Below are 25,004 nucleotides of genomic sequence, written 5' to 3'. Positions count from 1 at the left end.
CAATCACCTCCCATCAAACCCCTCCCCAACACATGGGGATTAGAATTTGAGATGAGATTTGTGTGGGGACACAGAGCCAAACTATATCATATACCCAGTAGTAGGATTGGCTGGATCATATGGAAGTTGTAGTTTTAAGTTTTTGATGAATTCTCATGCTGCTTTCCATCCCCATAAATAGTGTACAAGTTTTCTTTCTCCACACCTTTGCCAACATTTACTTTTCATCTTTTTGATAGTAGCCATTCTAACAGTGTGAGGTGATTTCTTATTGCAGTTTTAATTTTCATTTATCTGGTGGTTAGTGATATTGAGCATTTTTTCATATACCTGTTGGCCTTTTGTATGCCTTTTTTGAGAAAAGTCTATTCAGGTCCTTTGCTTATTTTTTAATTGGACAATTTGTTTTCTTACTAAGTTTTTGAAATTACTTATATATTTTAGATATTAGCCCCTTATCAGATGTATGGATTGCAAATATATTCTCTCATTCTGTAGATTTTGTCTTCACTCTGTTGATTGTTTCCTTTGTATTTTAGTTTGATGCAATCCTATTTGTTTATTTTTGCCTTTGTTGTGAGTGCTTTGGGGGTCATATCTAAAAAATCATTGCCAAGACCAATGTGATGGAACTTTTCCACTGTTTTCTTCTAGTTACTTTATAGTTTCAGGTCTTATATTTAAGTCTTTGCTTCATTTTGAGTTGACTTTTGTACATGATGTGAGAGTCCAATTTTATTCTTCTGAATGTCAATATCCAGCTTTCCCAGCACCGTTTATTGAAGACACTGTCCTTTCTCTGTTGTGTATTCTTGGCTCCTTTGTTGAAAATTAGTTGGCTGTAAATGTGTGGATTTATTTCTGGACTTGCTATTCTGTTTCATTGGTCTTTGTGTCATCAGACATTCTCTAATCACTTGCTTTGGGCCAGAATTGGATCTGAGCATCTAGGATACAGATATCGGGCTGAGCTCATCAGAAGCTTAAACAAATCTGCTAGGGATGCATACTAAAAATCATGATGAATCAAAAATTGTATTTCTGAAACTAAAATTTACTTTCGCAGTATTTCTGAAACTAAAATTTACTTTCACATCTTTTGTCACTTTTTTTTTTTTTTGAGACAAGTTCTTTCTCTTTTGCCCAGGCTGGAGTGCAGTGGCATGATCTCAGCTCACTGCAACTTCTGACCCCTGGGTTCAAGCAGTTTTCCCACCTGAGTCTCTCAAGTGGCTGGGATTACAGGCATGAGCCACTGTACCTAGCTAATTTTTTGTTGTTCTTGTATTTTTAGTAGATACGGGGTTTTACCATGTTGGCCAGGCTGCTCTCAAACTCCTGGCCTCAAGTGATCCTCCCACCTTGGCCGCCCAAAGTGCTGGGATTACAGGCATGAGCCACCGTGCCCAGTCTTTTGTCACATTTACTACTCACACCAACCCCACAGAGTAGGTATGATTATTCCCATATTACAGGCAAGGAAAGAGGGGCTTTTAGCTGTTTCCATAATGTGGTGCACATGCATATAGAAGAAACTGGAGCATATATGTGAATATGAACCTTCTTTTATCCTTTTTGTGAAAGAAATCAACACCAAATAACAGAGGTTGGGTCTGGATTAGAGAAGAACAAATGAAGTGGGCTGTGAGGAGGTTTTGGATAACAGAGGTCTTCCTAGAGAAGATGGCACTTGAGCCGGACCTTAGAAATGAGTAGGATGTCAATAAGAAGGACTGTAATGGGGACAGGCAAGAGGATAAGGTGAAATGATCTACCAAGTTGAGGGAATAGCATAGGAAAAAGCAGAGAGGTGTGAAATTGGGAGGTCTGTTTGTGAATGAATCTGTAAGGGATGGTTTGTGGAGAGAGTGGGTCTGGAATGGTGAGTGGGATTGCATTATTTAGGGTGACTGTAAAGAGCTTTGACATTTTTCTCAGGCCCATGGATAATTATTAACGACCTTTCAACAAGGAGACAGTATAGTAGGAGTTTTGCTTAAGCTGGCACCTGCAGGATAAAGGAGTGAGAAGGCACACTGGGAATTCTCAATACTTCTTCTGCCACTGCTATTGAAGGCAGGTGGCTTGCTTAATAATTCTCCTGTGCCTGCTGCCCCAGGTTACCACAATCACTCAAATTCATGGACCACTATTAGAGATGAGATGCATAGCTTTTGGATGTGAGTTTCAATCTGATGCTTGATTATATATATGACAGTGGCCAAAAAGGGCAGAAGCCATCTGTGGTGCAAAGGCTCTCAGACTGGATGAGGGGAGGGCCGATGAGGAAGTCCTAACTCCTAAGAAGTCACCTGCTCCCATGCTCTGGTGCTTCCTCCTATGCCACATCTTCCACCCTGCAGCCTACGCTCTGTTGGGAGGGCCCCAAGAAGGAGCATGATCTACAGCACATACTGTCCACATGTGTTCCAAAAAGTCAGGTCACCTCTTGAATCCTTTACTGCTTAGACATTTCTTCTGTCAGAGATACTCTAAATCATTTATGTAAAGTTCAAAGTTCCACAGATCCCTAGGACAGGGACAAAATGCCACCAGTTTATTTGCTAAAGCATAGCAAGAGTGACCTTTGCTCCAGTTCCCAATAAGTTCCTCATCTCCGTCTGAGACAACCTTGTCTTGGACTTCATTGTCCATATTACTATCAGCATTTCAGTCAAAACCATTCAACAAGTCTCTAGGAAGTTTCAAACTTTTCCACATATCCCTGTCTTCTTCTGTGCCCTCCAAACTATTCCAAGCTCTGCCTGTTACCCAGTTCCAAAGTCACTTCCACATTTTCAGGTATCTTTATACCAGTGCTCCACTTCTCCTCTTCAGTTCTCTTTTTGTTGGAGCTTATGAATTTTGGAAGTTGAAGCTTTTTTGGATCAGAGATGCCTAGGCTGCTTAGAGACAGAACAGGCATATCTCTACAGAGAGGAATGGGTACCTTGGCCATGTAACCCTGAGAAGGAATGCCAACTTTCATGTGAAAGTCATGTGAGGGGCTCACATCCCAGCAGATCAGAAAGGTACTAATAAGTTTTCAACATTGTACAGGGAACTTTATGGTTTTCAAAGTGATTCTGCCAACATTTCAGTTCACAAAACACCAAGGGAGTACGAGTTTTTATGCCTTTTGGGCAGGGAAGGAAACTGAGACTCAGAGAGTTTAAGGGTCATTCAACTCAGAGCAGGAAAGCTGAACTGGAACTCATGTCATCTTGCTCCAAATATAGAGCTCTTTCCATTACACCAGGCTGCCTCTCAGAAAGCAGTGAAAGCCTGCAAGGGAAAGGTGTTTCTGGCACCTTTGCACGGAAGGGAACTCTGACCACATTTTCCCATGGAAACATTTTCACCTATGTTGGTTATGATCTATGGCTGAAATAGTAAAGTACTGTGTTTCAGCAGTATACTTGCCTTCCAGTCAATCGAGTTACATTTCACGTAGCACCTATTAGGTAAGTCTATAACAAAAATTTGTAAGAAGATATTTTTCCCACTCTGGTGAGGGACGCAGACATAGGCAGAAGCCACTAAAACAATAGGAGCTGCCTAATCTGTCCCCCACCAAGAATGACTTTTCTTTTTCTTTCACCAGGGAATCCCATCCATGTTAGAAATATTCTGTCAATGAAATGAGAGGTAACATCCATAATAGAGTTTTAGGGCAAGATATAGTTCAGTCCAAATCTAAGCATCTAAGCTATGCCACTGTGTGATTAGAGGAAAAAAAATGGCCTTTCTCTCCTTGCTAAAAATTCACCCAGCACTGGCCATAAAATATAGTCCATGCATCTGTAACCCCTGAGAGAATTATTTCCTTATGGAACTCAGCTCTGTTCCTTTGCCTGCCTTGTAGAGGGCTGGTTCTTGTTATGGGAGGCTTTTAAAGTACCAAAGTAATAATTTGTGAAGTAAGGCCCATGAACTGCTTGGTTTAGCAAATTGTGACTCTAGAAAATAATATTTGAAGCTGGTCTCAAAGGCTGGATTAAATAGGAGGTGCCCATGTTTACCCAAGCCAAACCTGGTAGCCATCCCCTCAGAGCCTCTTCTTTGCCCCATGCCTCATATATGCCATTATCATAAAAATAACAAGAGCCCTCTATTATTTAGGGCCTACTTTAGACCAGAAACTATTAAGATCTTTCTATATCATATCGCCAGTCCTTACAGTGCTGCAAAGGAGGCATTATGACCTTCCATTTGAAAGCTGAGGAAGTGGAAGCTCAGAGATGTTTAGTAACCTATTCAAGATCACCATGCTCTTTTTTCTATACCAGGTCAGCCTGAGAGGTTGAGTGAGCTCTGCAATGCTCCTGGTTTACTCAGGAGGATTAGGGCAATAGGCAGACCTTTTCTTGTTTTTCTTACTGTCTTTCCTTTTGATCAAAATGTCCATCTCAAAATGTTTAAATCATCTCCAGAGCAAGTTCGAGTTCTCCTGTGTCTGCTTTTGATGACCTTTCTGTCTCTTCCTTTGCTACCACACTGCCTTCTGTCACTTATAACTGTCGTTAAAAAAAAAAAAAGGTCTCTGAATTATATAATGGGCTTGGTAATGAGAAAGGCATGCTCTCTTGAGCTTTATCTTAATAATAGTTAATAGCCCTCAGGTGAGGTCATGAAAGAGTCTCCTACAACATTATAATAGTTGTTTTGACTTCTAGATTTTTCTATCTTAGTTTTGGGGTCTTTGTTCCTGGTTGGGGGAAGATGCTTGGTGGGTTCGTAGGGCATATGAGGTGTTTCTGAAGCAAGATGCCAGCCTTATTTTGGAAGGTATGATAGCCGTAGAATTTCTAAATTTTATTTTTTTATTCATAGTTAATAGCTGTGCCAACACACAGCTGCTTTAGTAGAGATAATACAGAATTTAGTGGAAGACAAAACTGGGTTAAAGTCTTTGCTCAGGGTTTACTTGCTATATGACAGGGACAAGTCATACAACCTCAGTTTTCAAATCTGTACAATGGAAGTAATCCACTCCCTTCTACTTATCCTCTGCTGACAATTCTTCTTCCTCTTCCTCTTCATCTTCATTCTTTTAAAAAAATTGTTTATGTTTTTACTTCAGTACGTTTTAGGGAAACAGGTGGTATTTGATTACATGAATAAGCTCTTTAGTGATGATTTCTGAGATTTTGGTGCACCCATCACCTGAGCAGTGTACACTGTACCCAATGTGTAGTCTTTTATCCCTCGCCACCCCTCACCCTTTCCCCCAAGTCCCCAAAGTCCAATGTATCATTCTTATGCCTTTGCAACCTCATAGCTTAGCTCCCACGTATGAGTGAGAGCATACGATGTCTGGTTTTCTATTCCTGAGTTACTTCACCTAGAATAATAGTCTCCAATTCCATCCAAGTCACTGTGAATGCCATTATTTCATACCTTTTTATAGCTGAGCAGTATTCCATGGTATATATATGCTACATTTTCTTTATCCACTTATTGATTGATGGGTATTTGGGCTGGTTCCATATTTTTGGCAATTGTGAATTGTGCTGCTATAAACATGTATGTGCAAGTATCTTTTTTGAATAATGACTTATTTTACTCTAGATATATACCTAGTAGTGGGATTACTGGATCAAACAGTAGATCTACCTTTAGTTCTTTAAGGAATCTCCAAATTGTTTTCGATAGTGGTTGTACTAGTTTACATTCCCACCAACAATGTAAAAGTGTTTCATTTTCACTGCATCCATACCAACATCTATTACTTTTTGTTTTTTTTATTATGGCCATTCTTGCTGGAGTGAGGTAGTATTACATTGTGGTTTTGATTTGCATTTTTCTGATAGTTAGTGATGTTGAGCATTTTTTATATGCTCGTTGGCCATTTGTATATCTTCTTTTGAGAATTGTCTACTCATGTCCTTAACCTGCTTTTTAATGGGATTGTTTGTTTGTTTGTTTGTTTTTCTTGCTGATTAGTCTGAGTTCCTTGTAGATTCTGGATATTAGTCCTTTGTCAGTTGTATGGATTGTGACGATTTTCTCCCACTCTGTGGGTTTTCAGTTAACTCTGCTGATTGTTTCTTTTGCTGTGCAGAAGCTTTTTAGTTTAAGTAAGTCCTATTTATGTATCTTTGCTTTTTGTTGTGTTTGCTTTTGGGTTATTTGTCATGAAGTCTTTGCCTAAGCCAATTTCCAGAAAGGTTTTTCTTAGTCCAATGTTATCTTCTAGAATCTTTATGGTTTCAGGTCTTAGGTTTAAGTCCCGGATCCATCTTGAGTTGATTTTTGTATAAGTTGAGAGATGAAGATCTAGTTTCATCCTCCTACATATGGCTTGCCAATATCCCAGCACCATTTACTGAATAGGGTGTCCTTTTCCCACTTTATGTTTTTGTTTGCTTTGCTGAAGGTCAGTGGCTATAAGTCTTTGGCTTTATTTCTGGGTTCTTCTTTCCATTCCATTTGTCTATATGCCTGTTTTTACCCCAATACCATGCTGTTTTGATGACCATGGCCTTATAGTATAGTTTGAAGTCAGGTAATGTGATGTCTCCAGATTTGTTGTTTAGTCTTGCTTTACTATGCAGGCTCTTTTTTGGTCCCACATAGATTTTAGGATTGTTTTTTCTAGTTCTGTGAAGAATGGTGTTGGTATTTTGATAGGAATTGCATTGAATTTGTAGATTGCTTTTGGCAGTATGGTCATTTTCATAATATTGATTCTATTCATTCATAGGCATGGGATATATTCATTTGGGTGTGTCATCTATGATTTCTTTCGGCAGTGTTTTGTAGTTTTCCATGTAGAGGTCTTTCACATCCTTGGTTAGGTATTCCTAAATATTTTATGTATTTATTTATTTGCAGCTATTGTGAAAGGGATTGAGTTCTTGATTTGATTCCCAGCTTGGTCACTGTTGTTGTATATCAGTGCTACTGATTTGTGTACATTAATTTTCTATCCTGAAGCTTTGCTGAATTCATTTACCAGTTCTAGGAGCTTTTTGGATGAGTCTTTAGAGTTTTTTAGGTATATGATTATATCATCAGTAAACAGAGAGAGTTTGGCTTCCACTTTACCAATTTGATGCCCTGTATTTCTTTCTCTTGTCTGATTGCTCTTGCTAGGACTTCCACTACTATGTTGAACAGAAGTGGTGAAAGCAGACATCCTTCTCTTATTCCAGTTCTTAGGGGGAATGCTTTCAACTTTTTTCCCATTCAGTATAATGTTGGCTGTGGGTTTGTCATAGATGGCTTTTATTACCTTAAAGTATGTCCCTTCTATGCCGATTTTGCTGAGAGTTTTAATTATAAAGGAATGCTGGGTTTTGTCACATGCCTTTTCTGAATCTATTGAGATGATCACGTGATTTTTGTTTTAAATTATGTTTATGTGGTCTATCACATTTATTGACTTATGTGTGTTAAACCATCCCTGCATCCCTTGCATGAAATCCACTTGATCATGGTGGATTGTCTTTTTTATATGCTGTTGAATTCAGTTTACTAGTACTCTGTTGAGAATTTTTGCATCTATGTTCATCAGGAATATTGGTCTGTAGTTTTCTTTTTTGGTTATGTGCTTCCCTGGTTTTGGTATTAGGATGATACTGGTGTCATAGAATGTTACGGAGGATTCCCTCTTTATCTTTTGGAATAGTGTCAATAGCATTGGTACCAATTCTTCTTTGAATGTCTGATAGAATTCAGCTGTTAATCTTTCTGGTCCTGGACTATTTCTTGTTGGTAGTTTTTAAATTATTATTTCAATCTCACTGCTTGTTTTTGGTCTGTTCAGAGATTCTATCTTTTCCTGGTTTAATCTAGGAGGGTTGTATATTTCTAGGAATTTATCCATCTCCTCTAGGTTTTCTAGTTTATGTGCATAAAAGTGTTCATAGTAGCCTTGAATAATCCTTTGTGTTTTTGTGATATCAGTTGTAATATCTCCCATTTTATTTCTAATTGAGCTTATTTGGATCTTCTCTCTTCTTTTCTTGGTTAATCTCACTAATAGTCTATCAATTTTATTGATCTTTTCAAAGAACCAGATTTTTGTTTCATTTATCTTTCGTATTTTCTTGTTTCAATTTCATTTAATTCTGCTCTGATATTCGTTATTTCTTTTCTTCTGCTGGGTTTGGATTTGGATTGTTCTTGTTTCTCCAGTTCCATGAGGTGTGGTCTTAGATTGTCAATTTATGCTCTTTCAGACTTTTGATGTAGGCACTTAATGCTTTGAACTTTCCTCTTAGCACCACTTTTGCTGTATCCCAGAGGTTTTTGACAGGTTGTGTCAATATTATCATTCAGTTCAAAGATTTTTTTTTATTTCCATCTTGATTTCATTGTTGACCCAATGATCATTCAGGAGCAGGCTATTTAATTTCCATGTATTTGCATGGTTTTGAGGGTTTTTTTTGGAGTTGATTTTCAGTTTTACTTCACTGTGGTCTGACAGAGTACTTGATATAATTTTAATTTTCTTAAATTTACTGAGACTTGTTTTGTGGCCTATCATATGGTCTATCTTGGAGAATATTGCATGTGCTGATGAATAGAATGTATATTCTGCAGTTATTCAGTAGAATGTTCTGTAAATATCTGTTAAGTCCATTTGTTTTAGGGTATAGTTTTTAAGTCCATTGTTTCTTTGTTGATTTTCTGTCTTGTTGACCTGTCTTGTGCTCTCAGTGGAGTATTAAAGTCCCCCACTGTTATTGTGTTGCTGTCTATCTCATTTCTTAGGTCTAGTAGTAATTGCTTTATAAATTTGGAAGCTCCAGTATTAGGTGCATATATATTTATAAGTGTGATATTTTCCTGTTGGTCCAGTTCTTTAATCATTATATAATGTACCTCTTTGTGTTTTTAACTGCTGTTGCTTTAAAGTTTGTTTGTCTGATGTAGGAATAGCTACTCCTACTTGCTTTTGGCATTGTTTGCATGGAATATCTTTTTCCACCCCTTTAAATTACATTTATGTGTTAGGTGAGACTCCTGAAGACAGCAGAAACTCAGTTGGTGAATTCTTATCCATTTTGCCATTCTGTATCTTTTAAGTGGAGCCTTTAGGCCACTCACATTCAATGTTAGCATTAAGATGTTATGTACTATTCTATTTATTGTGCTATTTGTTGCCTGAATATCTTGGGGTTTTCTTTTTTTAATTGTGTTATTGTTATATAGGTCCTGTGAGATTTATGCTTTAAGGAGGTTCTATTTTGGTGTATTTTGAGGATTTGTTTCAAGGTTTAGAGCTCCTTTTAGCAGTTCTTGTAGTGCTGGCTTGGTAATGGTGAATTCTGTCAGCATTTGTTTGTCTAGAAAAGACTGTATCTTTCCTTCATTTATGAAGCTTAGTGTTTCTGGATACACAATTCCTGGCTGGTAATTCTTTTGTTTAAGCAGGCTAAAAATAAGACCCCAATCCCTTCTAGCTTGTAGGATTTCTGTTGAGAAATATGCTCTTAATCTGATAGGTTTTCTTTTATAGGTTACCTGATGTTTTTGCCTCACAGCTCTGAAGATTCTTTCCTTTGTCCTGATTTTAGATAACCTGATGACTGTGTGCCTAGGCGATGATCTTTTTGCAATGAATTTCCCAGGTGCTCTTTGAGTTTCTTGTATTTGGATGTGTAGACCTCTAGCAAGGCTGGGGAAGTTTTCCTTGATTATTCCCTCAAATATGTTCTCCAGTCTTTTAGATTTGTTGTCTTCCTTGGGAGCACCAATTATTCTTAAGTTTGGATGTTTAGCATAGTCCCAAATTTCTTGGAGGCTTTTTTCATTTTTTGAAGTTCTTTTTTGTTTGTGTTTGATGGATTGGGTTAATTTGAAAGTCTTATCTTCAAGCTCTGAAGTTCTTTCTTCCACTTGTTCAGTTCCATTGCTGAGACTTTCCAGTGCATTTTGCTCTCTCTAAGCGTGTCCTTGATTTCCAGAAGTTGTGATTGTTTCTTATTTATGCTGTGTATCTCACTGAAGAATTTTCCTTTCATATCCTGTATCATATTTTTTATTTCTTCAAGTTGGACTTCACCTTTCTCTGGTGCCTCCTTGATTAGCATAATAATCAGCCCTCTGAATTCTTTTTCTGGCAATTCAGAAATGTTGTCTTAGTTTGGATCCATTACTGGTGAACCAGTATCATCTTTTATGGGTGTTAAATAACCTTCTTTTGTCATATTAGTAGAATTGTTTTTCTGATTCCTTCTTATTTGGGTAGACTATGTCAGAGGGAAGATCTGGGATTCAAGGGCCACTGTTCAGATTCCTTTGTCCCATGGGGTGCTCCCTTAATGTGGTGTTCTCCCCCTTCCCTAGGAATGGGGCTTCCTCAGAGCTGAAATGTAGTGATTGTTTTGCTCTTATGAGTCTAGCCACCCAGCAGAGCTCCAGGCTGGTGCTGAAGAGTGTCTGCAAAGAGTCCTGTAATGTTATCTGTCTTCAGGTCTTGGCAGCCATGGATACCACCACCTGCTCCAGTGGAGGTAGCAGGGTAGTGAAGTGGACTCTGTGATGGTCCTCAGTTGTGTTTTTGTTTAGTGTGCTGGTTTGTATTCGTTGGCTTCCAGCCAGGAGGTGACACTTTCAAGAGTGTGTCAGCTGTGGTCCTATTGGGAGGATGCAGACTTACCCTAGGGACACCTGATGAAGTATTCAGGTTTCTCAGGTGGTAGGCAGGGCCATAGAGCTCCTAAGAGATTATGACCTTTGTCTTTGGCTACCAGAGTGGTTAGAGAAAGAACACCAGGTGGGGGCAGGGATAAGCATGTCAGAGCTCAGCCTGTCCTTGTGTGGGGCTTGCTGTAGCTGCTGTGGGGAATGGGGTATGGTTCCCAGGCCAATGGAGTTATGTTCCCAGAAGGATTATGGCAGCTTCTCCTAAGTCATACAGGTCACCAGGGAAGTAGGGGAAAGCCAGCAGTCACAGGCCTCACTCTGCTCCCATGCAGCCCACAGTCCTAAAAGCCAGTCTCACTCTCACTATGGCCTCCCAACAGCACCAAGCCTATTTCCAGGAAGCTGGTAGCCAGGGCTGAAAACTTGCCCCAGATCACAAGCCCCTCTGTTGAGAAAGCAAGCTGACTCACAGTTTTTTGTCATCTCAGGGAGACTGCAGCAGTGATCTAGTTCCTTCAAAGGGTCTGTGGATTCTCTTGGCTTCCTGGTATGTTCCTGCAGTAGTTCTTGGAGCAAAAGTTCACAATATGAGTCTCCCCACGCTGCTCTGTCCATCCAGGCAGGAGCTGCAAGCTAGTCCTTCCTCCTATCTGCCATATTTGAGAAAAGGCCCTCATTCTATTTATTATCATAATGATCATCATTACAATAAAGATCAAATGAGATTATGATGTAGAAGGAATTTATAAAGTGTAAATGATGATGATGATGCATTAATAATAATAGTATCTTTTTGATCTCTCAAACATGTTAGCTGCTACCTCCAGCAGGATATAAAGACAGAAGACCCATTTTGTGCTCTCTTTCAATCATTGTACCTATATCCTGAGCTCTCTGAGTCTGAAACAGTAGATATTTGGAGCCTTAAGTCTCAACCTTTATTTCTGCAATACACAGGATAAGTCAATGCAAGTCACATTCCCCTGGAAGTTTCCAGGTGTGTGACTTCTAGATGTAGTTGTATTTCCTATTCTCCTGTTCAAGAAATCGTATTTATATTTTAATAAAATAAGGGAAATTATTATACAGTTGTCTAAATCAGTTCTTCTCAAATGTGGTCCTCAAACCAGCACCAACAGCATTACCTGGGAACTTATTAGAAAATTAAATTCTTAACCCCCACCATAGGTCTAATGAATTAGTAACTCTAGTGGTGTGTTCCCATAGTCTGTTTTAGCAAGACATCCCAGGTGATTCTGATGCATGATAAAGTTTAAGGGGTATTGGTCTAAATTATCAAAAAAAGCCAAACATTCTTAAATGTTTCATCTTTATTATTTGTGACTAATCACTTCTGATGTCTGCTCAGTAGATCATTAACAACATAAATGAAAACTTCTTGGGTCACTAAGCAGCCTGCATGTAGGAGCCACAAGGAGTCAGGTGGCCTTTGGCTGCTAGTAACAGTAACCTCAACTCAAATGCATTTAAAAGACAAGAAAATGGATTATCTCAGGCTACCAGAAGTCCAAAAGTAGAGTGTATCCCTATATGGCATATCAGGCACCCAGCTCTGAGTCTCAGTAATGCCCTTGTTTCTGCCTCCAACCATCTATTGGCTCCTTCCTCAGGACAGTAGCAAGATGGCAACCTGGTCCTGATCAAAGAATGGCTTGCAAGGCTTCTAGCCACATATCCTGACACTTTCAGTAGCAGAAATGGACTCTATCCCTTTGTTTCCATCATAAGAGAGAGAGGAAACCATTCTTAGAAGCTCTTCAGCACACTTTCCCTCACATCTAGATCTCACGTCCATAACTCTAAACCAACCATTGCCAAACAATGATTGGCTTATGCTTAGTTTTTGCCATTTCCTAAGGGGTAAACCCCTGAACAAAGTCAGGGTGCTGTCACAAGAAAACACAGGGAAAGCTAGGATTCATATTAATATCCAAATGAGAATTCACCTTATCGGGGAGCATGTTTAAAAATTCAGAGATAGGGCAGTTCCAAGAAGGCTGAATAGGACAGCTCCAGTCTTCAGTTCCCAGTGTGACTGACGCAGAAGAGAGGTGATTTCTGCATTTCCAACTGAGGTATTGGGTTCATCTCACTGGGGCTTGTTGGACAGTGGGTGCAGGACAGTGGGTGCAGCACACCAAGCGTGAGCCAAAGCAGGGTGAGGCATCGCCTCACCCGGGAAGCACAAAGGGTCAGGGAATTCCCTTTCCTAGCCAAGCAAAACTGTGACAGATGGCACCTGGAAAATCGGATCACTCCCACCCTAATACTGCGCTTTTCCAATGGTCTTAGCAAACGGCACACCAGGAGTTTATATCCCGCACCAGGATCAGAGGGTCCCATGCCCATGGAGCCTCGCTTACTGCTTGCACAGCAGTCTGAGATCGAACTGCAAGGCAGCAGCGAGGCTGGGGGAGGCTTTGCTGAGGCTTCACTAGGTAAACAAAGCGGCTGGGAAGCTCAAACTGGGTAAAGCCCACCACAGCTCAAGGAGGCCTGCCTGCCTCTGTAGACTCCACCTCTGGGGGCAGGGCATAGCCTAACAAAAGGCAGCAGAAACCTCTGCATACTTAAATGTCCCTGTCTGACAGCTTTGAAGAGAGTAGTGGTTCTCCCAGCAAAGAGTTTGAGATCTGAGAAAGTTGAGACAGACTGCCTCCTCAAGTGGGTCCCTGACCCCTGAGAAGCCTAACTGGGAGGCACCCCCTAGTAGGGGCAGACTGACACCTCACACAGCTGGGTAACTCTCTGAGACGAAAATTCCAGAGGAACGATCAGGCCGCAACATTTGCTGTTCAGCAATATTCGATGTTCTGCAGCCTCTGCTGCTGATACCCAGGCAAACGGGGTCTGGAGTGGACCTCCAGCAAACTCCAACAGACCTGCAGCTGAGGGTCCTGACTGTTAGAAGGAAAACTAACAAACAGAAAGGACATCCACACCAAAACCCCATCTGTACGTCACCATCATCAAAGACCAAAGGTAGATAAAACCACAAAGATGGGGAAAAAAACAGAGCAGAAAAGCTGAAAATTCTAAAAATCAGAGCACCTCTCCACCTCCAAAGGAACGCAGCTCCTCACCAGCAACAGAACAAAGCTGGACGGAGAAAGACTTTGAGGAGTTGAGAGAAGAAGGCTTCAGAAAACCAAACTTCTCCGAGCTAAAGGAGGAAGTTCGAACCCATCGCAAAGAAGATAAAAACCTTGAAAAAAGATTAGAAGAATGGCTAACTAGAATAACCAATGCAGAGAAGTCCTTAAATGACCTGATGGAGCTGAAAACCATGGCACGATAACTACGTGACGAATGCACAAGCTTCAGTAGCCGATTTGATCAGCTGGAAGAAAGGGTATCAGTGATTGAAGATCAAATGAATGAAATGAAGCAAGAAGAGAAGTTTAGAGAAAAAAGAATAAAAAGAAACAAACAAAGCCTCCAAGAAATATGGGACTATGTGAAAAGACCAAATCTACGTCTGATAGGTGTACCTGAAAGTGACAGGGAGAATGGAACCAAGTTGGAAAACACTCTGCAGGATAATATCCAGAAGAGCTTCCCCAACCTAGCAAGGCAGGCCAACATTCAAATTCAGGAAATACAGAGAAAGCCACAAAGAACTCCTTGAGAAGAGCAACTCCAAGACACATAATTATCAGATTCACCAAAGTTGAAATGAAGGAAAAAATGTTAAGGGCAGTCAGAGAGAAAGGTTGGGTTATCCACAAAGGGAAGCCCACCAGACTAACAGCTGATCTCTCGGCAGAAACTCTACAAGCCAGAAGAGAGTGGGGGCCAATATTCAACATTCTTAAATAAAAGAATTTTCCACCCAGAATTTCATATCCAGCGAAACTAAGCTTCATAAGTGAAGGAGAAATAAAATCCTTTATAGACAAGCAAATGCTGAGAGATTTTGTCACCACCAGGCCTGCCCTACAAGAGCTCCTGAAAGAAGAACTAAACATGGAAAGGAACAGCTGGTACCAGCCACTACAAAAACATGCCAAATTGTAAAGACCATCAATGCTAGGAAGAAACTGCATCAACTAACAAGCAAAATAACCAGCTAACATCATAATGACAGGATCAAACTCACACATAACAATATTAACCTTAAATGTAAATGGGCTAAATGCTCCGATTAAAAGACACAGATTGGCAAATTGGATAAAGAGTCAAGACCCATCAGTGTGCTGTATTCAGGATACCCATCTCATGTGCAGAGACACACATAGGCTCAAAATAAAGAGATGGAGGAAGATCTGCCAAGCAAATGGAAAACAAAAAGACAGGGGTTGCAATCCTAGACTCTGATAAAAGAGATTTTAAACCAACAAAGATCAAAAGAGACAAAGAAGGCCATTACATAATGGCAAAGGGATCAATTCAGCAAGAAGAGCTAACTGTCCTAAATATACATGCACCCAATATAGGAGCACCCAGATTCATAAAGCAAGTCCTTAGAGACTTACAAAGAGACTTAGACTCCCATATAATAATAGTGAGAGACTTTAACACCCCACTGTCAACATTAGACAGATCAACGAGACAGAAAGTTAACGAGGATATCCAGGAATTGAACTCAACTCTACACCAAGCGGACCTAATAGACATCTACAGAACTCTCCACCCCAAATCAACAGAATATACATTCTTCTCAGCACCACATCGCACTTATTCCAAAATTGACCACATAGTTGGAAGTAAAGCATTCCTCAGCAAATGTAAAAGAACAGAAATTAAAACAAACTGTCTCTCAGAACACAGTGCAATCAAACTAGGCCTCAAGATTTAGAAACTCACTCAAAACCACTCAACTACCTGGAAACTGAGCAACGTGCTCCTGACTGACTACTGGGTACATAACGAAATGAAGGCAGAAATAAAGATGTTCTTTGAAATCAACGAGAACAAAGACATAACATACCAGAATCTCTGGGACACATTTAAAGCAGTGTGTGAGGGAGATTTATAGCACTAAATGCCCACAAGAGAAAGCAGGAAAGATCTAAAATTGACACCCTAACATCATAATTAAAGAACTAGAGAAGCAAGAGCAAACACATTCAAAAGCTAGCAGAAGGCAAGAAATAACTAAGATCAGAGCAGGACTGAAGGAGTTAGAGACACGAAAAACCCTTCAAAAAATCAATGAATCCAGGAGCTTGTTTTTTGAAAAGATCAACAAAATTGATAGACCACTAGCAAGACTCATAAAGAACAAAAGAGAGAAGAATCAAATAGACGCAATAAAAAATGATAAAGGAGATATCACCACCAATCCCACAGAGATACATACTACCGTCAGAGAATACTATAAACACCTCTACGCAAATAAACTAGAAAATCTAGAAGAAATGGATAAATTCCTGGACACATCCACCCTCCCAAGACTAAACCAGGAAGAAGTTGAATCTCTGAATAGACCAATCACAGGCTCTGAAATTCAGGCAATAATTAATAGCCTACCAACCAAAAAAAGTCCAGTACCTGACGGATTCACAGCCAAATTCTACCAGAGGTACAAGGCAGAGCTCGTACCATTCCTTCTGAAACTCTTCCAATCAATAGAAAAAGTGGGAATTCTCCCTAACTCATTTTACGAGGCCAGCATCATCCTAATACCAAAGCCTGGCAGAGACACAACAAAAAATGATAATTTTAGACTAATATCCCTGATGAACATCGATGCAAAAATCCTCAATAAAATACTGGGAAACCGAATTCAGCAGCACATCAAAAAACTTATCCACCATGATCAAGTGGGCTTCATCCCTGGGATGCAAGGCTGGTTCAACATATGCAAATCAATAAACATAATCCAGCATATAAACAGAACCAATGACAAAAATCACATGATTATCTCAATAGATGCAGAAAAGGCCTTTGACAAAATTCAACAACCCTTCATGCTAAAAACTCTCAATAAGTTAGGTATTGATCGGACGTATCTCAAAATAATAAGAGCTATCTATGACAGACCCACAGCCAATATCATACTGAATGGGCAAAAAATGGAAGCATTCCCTTTGAAAACTGGCACAAGACAGGGATGCCCTCTCTCACCACTCCTATTGAACACAGCGTTGGAAATTCTGGCCAGGGCAATCAGGCAGGAGAAGGAAATAAAGGGTACTCAATTAGGAAAAGAGGAAGTCAAATTGTCCCTGTTTTCAGATGACATGATTGTATATCTAGAAAACCCCATTGTCTCAACCCAAAATCTCCTTAAGCTGATAAGCAACTTCAGCAAAGTCTCAGGATACAAAATCAATGTGCAAAAATCACAAGCATTCTTATACACCAATAACAGACAAACAGAGAGCCAAATCATGAGTGAACTCCCATTCACAATTGCTTCAAAGAGAATAAAATACCTAGGAATCCAACTTACAAGGGATGTGAAGGACCTCTTCAAGGAGAACTGCAAACCACTGCTCAACGAAATAAAAGAGGTTACAAACAAATGGAAGAACATTCCATGCTCATGGATAGGAAGAATCAATATCATGAAAATGGCCATACTGCCCAAGGTAACTTGTAGATTCAATGCTATCCCCAGCAAGCTACCAATGCCTTTCTTCACAGAATTGGAAAAAACTACTTTAAAGTTCATATGGAACCAAAAAAGAGCCCACATTGCCAAGACAATCCTAAGCAAAAAAACAAAGCTGGAGGCATCACGCTACCTGATTTCAAACTATACTACAAGGCTATAGTAACCAAAACAGCATGGTACTTGTACCCAGAGATATAGACCAATGGAACAGAACAGAGCCCTCAGAAATAATACCACACATCTACAACCATCTGATCTTTGACAAACCTGACAAGAGCAAGAAATGGGGAAAGGATTCCCTATTTAACAAATGGTGCTGGGAAAACTGGCTAGCCATATGCAGAAAGCTGAAACTGGATCCCTTCCTTACACCTTATACAAAAATTAATTCAAGATGGATTAAAGACTTAAATGTTAGACCTGAAACCATAAAAACCTTAGAAGAAAACCTAGGCAATACCATTCAGGACATAGGCATGGGCAAGGACTTCGTGTCTCAAACACCAAAAGCAATGGCAACAAAAGCCAAAAATGACAAATGGGATCTAATTAAATTAAAGAGCTTCTGCACAGCAAAAGAAACTACCATCAGAGTGAACAGACAACCTACAGAATGGGAGAAAACTTTTGCAATCTACCTGTCTGACAAAGGACTAATATCCAGAATCTACAACGAACTCAAACAAATTTACAAGAAAAAAAGAAACAACCCCATCAAGTGGGCAAAGGACATCAACAGACACTTCTTGAAAGAAGACATTTATGCAGCCTACAGACACGTGCAAAAATGCTCATCATCACTAGCCATCAGAGAAATGCAAATCAAAACCACAATGAGATACCATCTCACACCAGTTAGAATGGCAATCATTAAAAAGTCAGAAAACAACAGGTGCTGGAGAGGATGTGGAGAAATAGGAACACTTTTATACTGTTGGTGGGAGAGTAAACTAGTTGAACCATTGTGGAAGACAGTGTGGTGATTCCTCAGTGATCTAGAACCAGAAATACCATTTGACCCAGCCATCCCATTACTGGGTATATACCCAAAGGATTATAAGTCATGCTGCTATAAAGACACATGCACACATATGTTTATTGCGGCACTATTCTCAATAGCAAAGACTTGGAACCAACCCAAATGTCCATCAATGATAGACTGGATTAAGAAAATGTGGCACATATACACCATGGAATATTATGCAGCCATAAAAAAGGATGAGTTCATGTCCTTTGTAGGGACATGGATGAAGCTATAAACCATCATTCTTAGCAAACTATCACAAAGACAAAAAACCAAACACTGCATGTTCTCACTCATATGTGGGAATTGAACAATGAGAACACTTGGGCACAGGATGGGGAACATCACACGCCAGGGCCTGTCGTGGGGTGAGGGGAAGGGGGAGTGATAGCATTAGGAGATATACCTAATGTAAATGACGAGTTAATGGGTGCAGCACACCAACATGGCACATGTATACATATGTAACTAACCTGCACGTTGTACGCATGTACCCTAGAACTTAAATTATAGTTAAAAATATATATATAAAAAAATTCAGAGATAAAAGAGAGGTATGGGATGGAAATGAAGCTGTAGATGCTGAGCCCACACTCAGAAGTGCCACCTGGATGGTGACACCTGTGAGCATCTTCCAAGCTACCTCTTCCTTGCCCAATATCCCTGACTTTTGCTTTCTTCCTAGCACTTCCTTCAATGGAAACACTTTCTTCTTTGCCCTCTAATTATCCTTTTGTCTTGTGTATAGAGATGCTGAGGAAAGAATATATGACAGTCAGTGGAGCTGGTTCCAGATCTTAGATCTTTATAGTAATTCTGCATATTCCACTTACTGTTGTGACAAATCACCTCCCCTCTCTGATACCCAACTTGCCTCATCTATAAGGCAAAACTAAAATCATCTGCGCTGAAGTGCTGTTGTAAGGTTCATAATAAAGAAAAAAGTACTTTGTAAACTGTAAGGCACCACGTGGGCAAGGGTTTTGATGATACCTTCATAGGTTAGGGCTTCCCAAATGGCAGGCCTCTAGTACACACACACACACACACTCACACTCACACACACTTCTACCCTTCACAAAAAATTGACTGGTCCTGTTGAACACATTCAGTGGGAACTGAAGTTCTAGAAGAGTGAGCAGAGCATACGGAAATTCTTGCAGGCTGTGGAACTGGGTGAGGTGATGACAATGTTGACCTTGACGCCACTACCATGCACTGAATGTGTAATATGTGCTCACCAAGCTCATCTGGCATTGCTGATCCTCAAGACAGCTTTCTGAAGACCCTGTTACTATCTCTATCCCTGTTGTGTACGTAAGAAAACTGAGGCTTAGAAAGTTGTTACGGGGCGTGGTGGCTCACGCCTGTAATCCAAGCACTTTGGGAGGCCAAGGCGGGTGGATCACCTGAGGTTGGGAGTTCAAGACCACCCTGACCAACATGGAGAAACCCCGTCTCTACTAAAAAAATTACAAAATTAGCCGGGCATGGTGGCATATGCCTTTAACCCCAGCTACTCAGGAGGCTGAGGCAGGAGAACCGCCTGAACCCAGGAGGTGGAGGTTGCGGTGAGCCAAGATGACACCATTGTACTCCAGCCTGGGCGACAAGAGCGAAACTCCGTCTCAAGAAAAAATAAATAAATAAATAAAAGAAGAAGAAGAAAGTTGTGAAACTTGCCCAAGTACGTAAGCTAATGAGGTCCCTGTAAACTAAAGTAGAAAGAGAAGTGGTGGGATTGGATGTGAACATGAAATGGGGACCTGAGGATCGAGTTTGCAGAAGGACAGAAAGAACACATCAGACAGGGAGGCAAGTGGAGATGACAGTACCAATGTGGGAAGGTGCCAAGAACAATAAGAGAGGAGTGAATCTGGACTGGGAATCCATTCATTCACTAATTCCAAAATATTCTGAATACCCACGAGGCACCAGCATTGGTGCTAGACTGTGGGAATATTGTGGTCCAGAGGGAGGATGGGAGGCATACTTCTAGGAACTCATGCCCTTCAAACAAACAGGCTGCCCACCAACTGGACAATAATGATGGAGTGTTGACTGCCATTAACACAGACATTCACTTTCTAGTTCAGTAGAAAGTCTGGTTTGATTCTAATTGGACTCTGTTTTTCTCCTCCTGTGTGTCTTCAGACAAGTCACTTTCCCTTCTGTGCCTGTTTCTCCATCTGGAAAACAGGAGATTCACTTAATTGGTCTTTAAAGTCCTCAGCTCTGACTCTGAGGATGTCAGGTGACAATATTTCAACTCTGCATTTCAGGGAGACAAACTATGGAGAGCTTGGATATCTCTGGGTCCTAATCTCAAAACTGTTGCTCACTATTGGTGTAAGTTTGGAGACGCTCACTGATGTTGCGTCTCCATTTCTTCATCTTCAAAATGAGCATCACAATGCCAGCTTCACAGTATCTCTGTGAATGTTAAAGCGATTATGTATGTAGAGCACCAAGCACAGTGCCTGACTTATAGCAAGGAACCCAACACTTGGCCCATGCTGTGACACATGCCTTTTTCTATGCCATCTTCCTTAAACCAATCCCCAGAGTTTTTCTAGGCCTCAGAATTCTTTAAATAGATGAGTGAACTGAGGTCCAGAGAGGGCAGGTGAGTCACAAAGTAAAAAAGCAAGTCAGAGCACAGCCCACGTCCAAGCCCAGGTTCCTTTCCCCTCCAGGGAGCTGAAGAGTCAGTAAGTCGCTCCCTCCCCTGCAGGACTTGTCTATCCCCAGTTGGCAAATGGAAACCTCTGGGCGGTGAAGTAAGTCATCACTTTATAGAGCGGAAATTACTCTGAAAGGGTAATTGGACTTCTCCTGCCTGACTTTTTGGGGGGTTGGAGATGGCTACAGCAATCCCCTTCCTGCCCTCCTCCCACATTCTCTCTATTTATCAATCCCTTCCTCCTTTTGGCTGCTAGTGGCTGGTCTGCCTGCTCCCAGATGAGGGCCAGAGCTCTAGTTTGTTCATGGGACTCTAGCAAGGCCTATGTCTGGGTGGAGAACATGTGAAGTCACTCCTTCTTACTCCTCCATCTCTGGGGCTTCCCGCCTAAGAGGTAAAATCCCAAATAACACCCATTTCCCAGGGCATGCTTGGAGGTGAAGGGGAGCAATAATAGGAAATACAAGTTGGTGAAATACAAAGAGCTTTGGATTTGAGTCTGGCAGCTCAGTTTGCTAGTCCCACTCCTGTTATCCACCAGCTGAAGGACTTTAGAAAATTTTCTTCACCTCCTTGGGCCTCAGTTTATTCACATGTAAAGTGTGCATCAGAATGCCAGCCTTGCCAGCCTCTCAGAGTTTCATGAACAACTATGAGTTAAGTCATTCAGTAACCACTTATTGAACACCTACTACATACCGAACACTATTCCAGAAGCTGAGGAGAAGGCACTGAACAAGCTCCTATCATGGAGCTTATGTTCCCGGTACAGAGGGTTGGGAGGCAATGATGGTAAAGTAATAGATGTGCAATACAGAGTCAAAGTGTACTATGTGTTTGAAAGAAAAATAGGGTATGAGGATAGAGGTTGGGGGCATACCATTTAGTTACAGTGATCAGGACAAACCTCTTTGAGGGTGTGATGTTTGAGCAGAGACCGGAAAGTGGGAGGAAGTGAACCATGTGGCTAGCTGAATGTAGACTGCTCCAGACTGAGGATGTAGCAATAGCAAAGCCCCTGGAGCATCCTCAGGAGCACCAAGGAGGGCACAGTCATTGAAGTGTAGTCAGCAAAGGGAGAGGGAAGGCGCTCTAGCTGGAGCAGTAGTGAGGCTTTGGATTGCCTAGGAGTTGATGGATATGAAAATACCAGGTACACTGTAAAGTTCTAGTGCAACATGAGTGCCCCCGACCCATCGCCACTTCTTGTTTTGGAATACATTTTATACATTAAGGAGAAGCACTGGGTCAGATATTTTACACATTGAATCCTTGAAACATTCTATTAAAATGGTAATACTTCTTATTCCTGTCTTACACAAGAGGATGCTAAAGGTAGGAAGCCCAGTTTTATTGGAATCCAAAGGTGGTTCTTTGCATATTGTGGCAGACTTCTGGTTTTGGTTTGGTTTTGCCTTGCTTTTCTTAAAAAATAAATTCTAATGACTACTCAGATCCATTTGCATTGATTGGGTATCCAGTAAGGGAGAGGTGGAAACAGGGAGGCGAGCTGGGCACCAGGGAAAAGCTGAGCGGGAACCAACATTGTTTCCACAGAGCAGAGACTCCCTGGATTCATGATCTAGATGGTTCCATTCATCAGTAGCCTCAAAGCGATTAAAGGAATGAGTAGACTATCAGATACTAAAAGCACACGAGATGAGAAGTCAGAGATATTGATGCCCCATATGCAAAGTAGGGTTCTCTGATGTGCTAGCATAGTTAGTAATTATTGAGAATGTAAAGCATTTCAGTCACTTTTAGAGGATGTGAAAGTGTGTCTGACCTTTACTCTTCCCTCATAATAGTCAAATCTCAGTTGCGCAATTTAACCAAGTGACCTTAGGCAAGTTAGTGGATCTCTCTGAATCTTGATATACTCATTTGTAAATTTGGGGAAATAAGCTAACTTGTGTTTTTTGTTGTTGTTGTTTTGGGTTTTTTTTTTTTTTTTTTTGAGACAGGATTTCACTTGGTCATCCAGGCTAGAGGGCAGTGGTACTATCTTGGCTCACTGCAGCCTTGACTTCCCAGGCTCAAGTGATCCTCCCACCTCAGCTTCCTGAGTAGCTGGAGCTACAGATGCACGATACAACACCCAGTTAATTTTTGTACTTTTGTAGAGATGAGGTCTTACTATGTCGCCCAGGCTGGCATATTGTTATTAAGCTGAAATGAGATGCAGTACATGAAATACTAGGCATAGTATCTAACATTGTGAATGCTTAAGTTATATCAATTGTCACTGTTATTCTGAATAATATTATTATTACTTGAGAGTGTAAGATAGAAATACAAGCAGTAGTTAGCAATATGAAACACTCTCACAGGGTTACTGTAAGTATCAGAAAAGATTAAGAGCTTAATAAACACTAGTTATTATTATTATCTCAATGTCCTTTAAGTAAAATGGGTTTTCTTCTTAGACCTCAGAAAGTAGGTGCTGTCTCTCCCATCTTACCTTCCCTTCTTTCTTTCTTTCTCCCTTACCGTCCTCTTTGCCCTCACCTTGGTTGGGCCCCCATCCTGGCGATGTCAGATGCAGTCGCACAGGTTTTGCTGCTCACAATGCTACCACATTCCAAAGCTCACCATTCCAATTGTAGACATCATAAACATGTATTAATCATTGATCAAGTGTCTTGTTCTAACAAATCAGAATATTGGAACAAGGGAGGGAAGTATCTTAAGAAAGAGATGATTTTTATTTTTCTATTGTTTTTCCAATTTGCACAGAGGCACCCTATAGGCTAGCAGTAATAGTCTGAGCTTTAGTTTTCCTGTCTGTACAATGAAGCCCTGAAACAGATGATGCCTCAGGATCCCCATGGTTTTGGGTCCTTGCAGGTCCAGAAGTGGGCACTGCACTACCCAAGTTCATGAAGTCAGCTTTGGGACTATGGAGAGCAGAACTGTGATATGGACTGTGATGCCTTAGAGACCTGTGGGTTCTTGGTCTCTCTACCTTAACCACAGGTACCTGTAAACTGGGGATGATAATCCTAAACTGCCTACCTCACAGGATTATCGTGAGGATTAAATGAGGAAAGAGCGTGCTTTGTAAGCCCTAATGAGCTGCACAAATTGGAAAGATTACTTACACCACACGAACACACTCATATATATATTAAGTATGTATGTGTGTTTATATTTTACATTGCAGTATGTATGTGTGCATGTGTGTATATATAGTATATGTGTGTGTATATATTATGTAAAGCTGTGAACTCATAGGGTTAGGTATGAATTAGAAGCTTGTAAAACATGTTTACTCATTCAGTGTAACCCAAGGCAGTTATTAAACAGTAGGAAAAACTGACCAGCTAAATTTTCCAAGCCTAAAAACGCTTTTATAGTTTTCATTGTGGATTGAAGGGTGACCTTGTTTCCTTTTCTTTATTTCAAGGAAAATTTTAACATAAATGAGGAAGCAAGGGAGTCATTTTAATAGAGTGAAAACCTCTATATGTGGGTGGGAGGGATAGATGAGGGGAGCTGAATGGAAATGCCAGTCACCCTCTCACTCTCCCCCCCTCCTCCTCCCAGATCATCTGCCCCGAGTAGCGGTGAGACCAGAAGTAAAGCTTCCCTGGTCACTCAAGGGCATCCATCTCCAGAAGATGCCCTTCTAGCTGGTCCTGCCGTGCCCTTCCTTCCTTCCTTCCTCCCTCCTTCTTCCTTCTTCCTTCCTTTCTCCTTTCTTCTTTCCTTACTTCCTTCCCTTCTTTCCTTTCTCCTTCCTTTTTTCTTTTCTTCCATCTTCCTTCCCTTCCTCCCTCCTTCCTTCCTTCCTTTCTTCCTTCCCTTCTTCTTTCCTTCCTCCTTTTTTCTTTCCTTTCATCTTCCTTCCTTCCCTCTCTCCCTCCCTCTCTCCTTCCTTCCCTTCTTTTCTTCCTCCTTCCTTTTTTTCTTTCCTTCCATCTTTCTTCCCTCCCTCCCTCCTTTCCTCCTTCCTTCCCTTCTTCTTTCCTTCCTCTCTTTTTTCTTTCCTTTCATCTTCCTTCCTTCCCTCTCTCCCTCCCTCCTTCATTCTCTTCTTCTTTTCTACCTCCTTCCTTTTTTCTTTCCTTCCATCTTCCTTCCTTCCTTCTCTCCTTCCTTCCCTCATTCATTCA

General features: G+C 40.8%; 1 protein-coding gene and 1 long non-coding RNA gene across 8 annotated transcripts in view, besides 1 other annotated feature; one reads left to right on the top strand and one right to left on the bottom strand.

Annotated features, from left to right (window-relative positions):
- Window positions 1-23,459, bottom strand: part of ASTN2-AS1 (ASTN2 antisense RNA 1) — a 58,011-nt gene extending 34,552 nt beyond the window's left edge. The window contains exon 1 of the long non-coding RNA NR_033973.1: window positions 23,398-23,459. This is a non-coding gene — a long non-coding RNA (ASTN2 antisense RNA 1). The remainder of the gene's footprint in view (window positions 1-23,397) is intronic.
- The window catches only part of ASTN2 (astrotactin 2), a 991,946-nt gene that overhangs the window by 887,316 nt on the left and 79,626 nt on the right, over window positions 1-25,004 (top strand). The gene's annotated exons all lie outside the window — the stretch shown is intronic.
- Window positions 22,090-22,259: an enhancer, noted in NCBI's record as "experimental_106426 CRE fragment used in MPRA reporter constructs". NCBI's record gives its function as "activates a minimal promoter by MPRAs in K562 erythroleukemia cells, with activity observed for the introgressed 9:119267847 variant allele {active_cell/tissue: K562}" and the evidence as "EXISTENCE:reporter gene assay evidence [ECO:0000049][PMID:34662402]".

The sequence above is a fragment of the Homo sapiens genome, chromosome 9, assembly GCF_000001405.40.
Source record: "Homo sapiens chromosome 9, GRCh38.p14 Primary Assembly".
NCBI classification, from domain to species: domain Eukaryota; kingdom Metazoa; phylum Chordata; class Mammalia; order Primates; family Hominidae; genus Homo; species Homo sapiens.
Note: the sequence above shows the minus strand (reverse complement) of the source record. Positions and strands in the feature narration are given on the sequence as shown.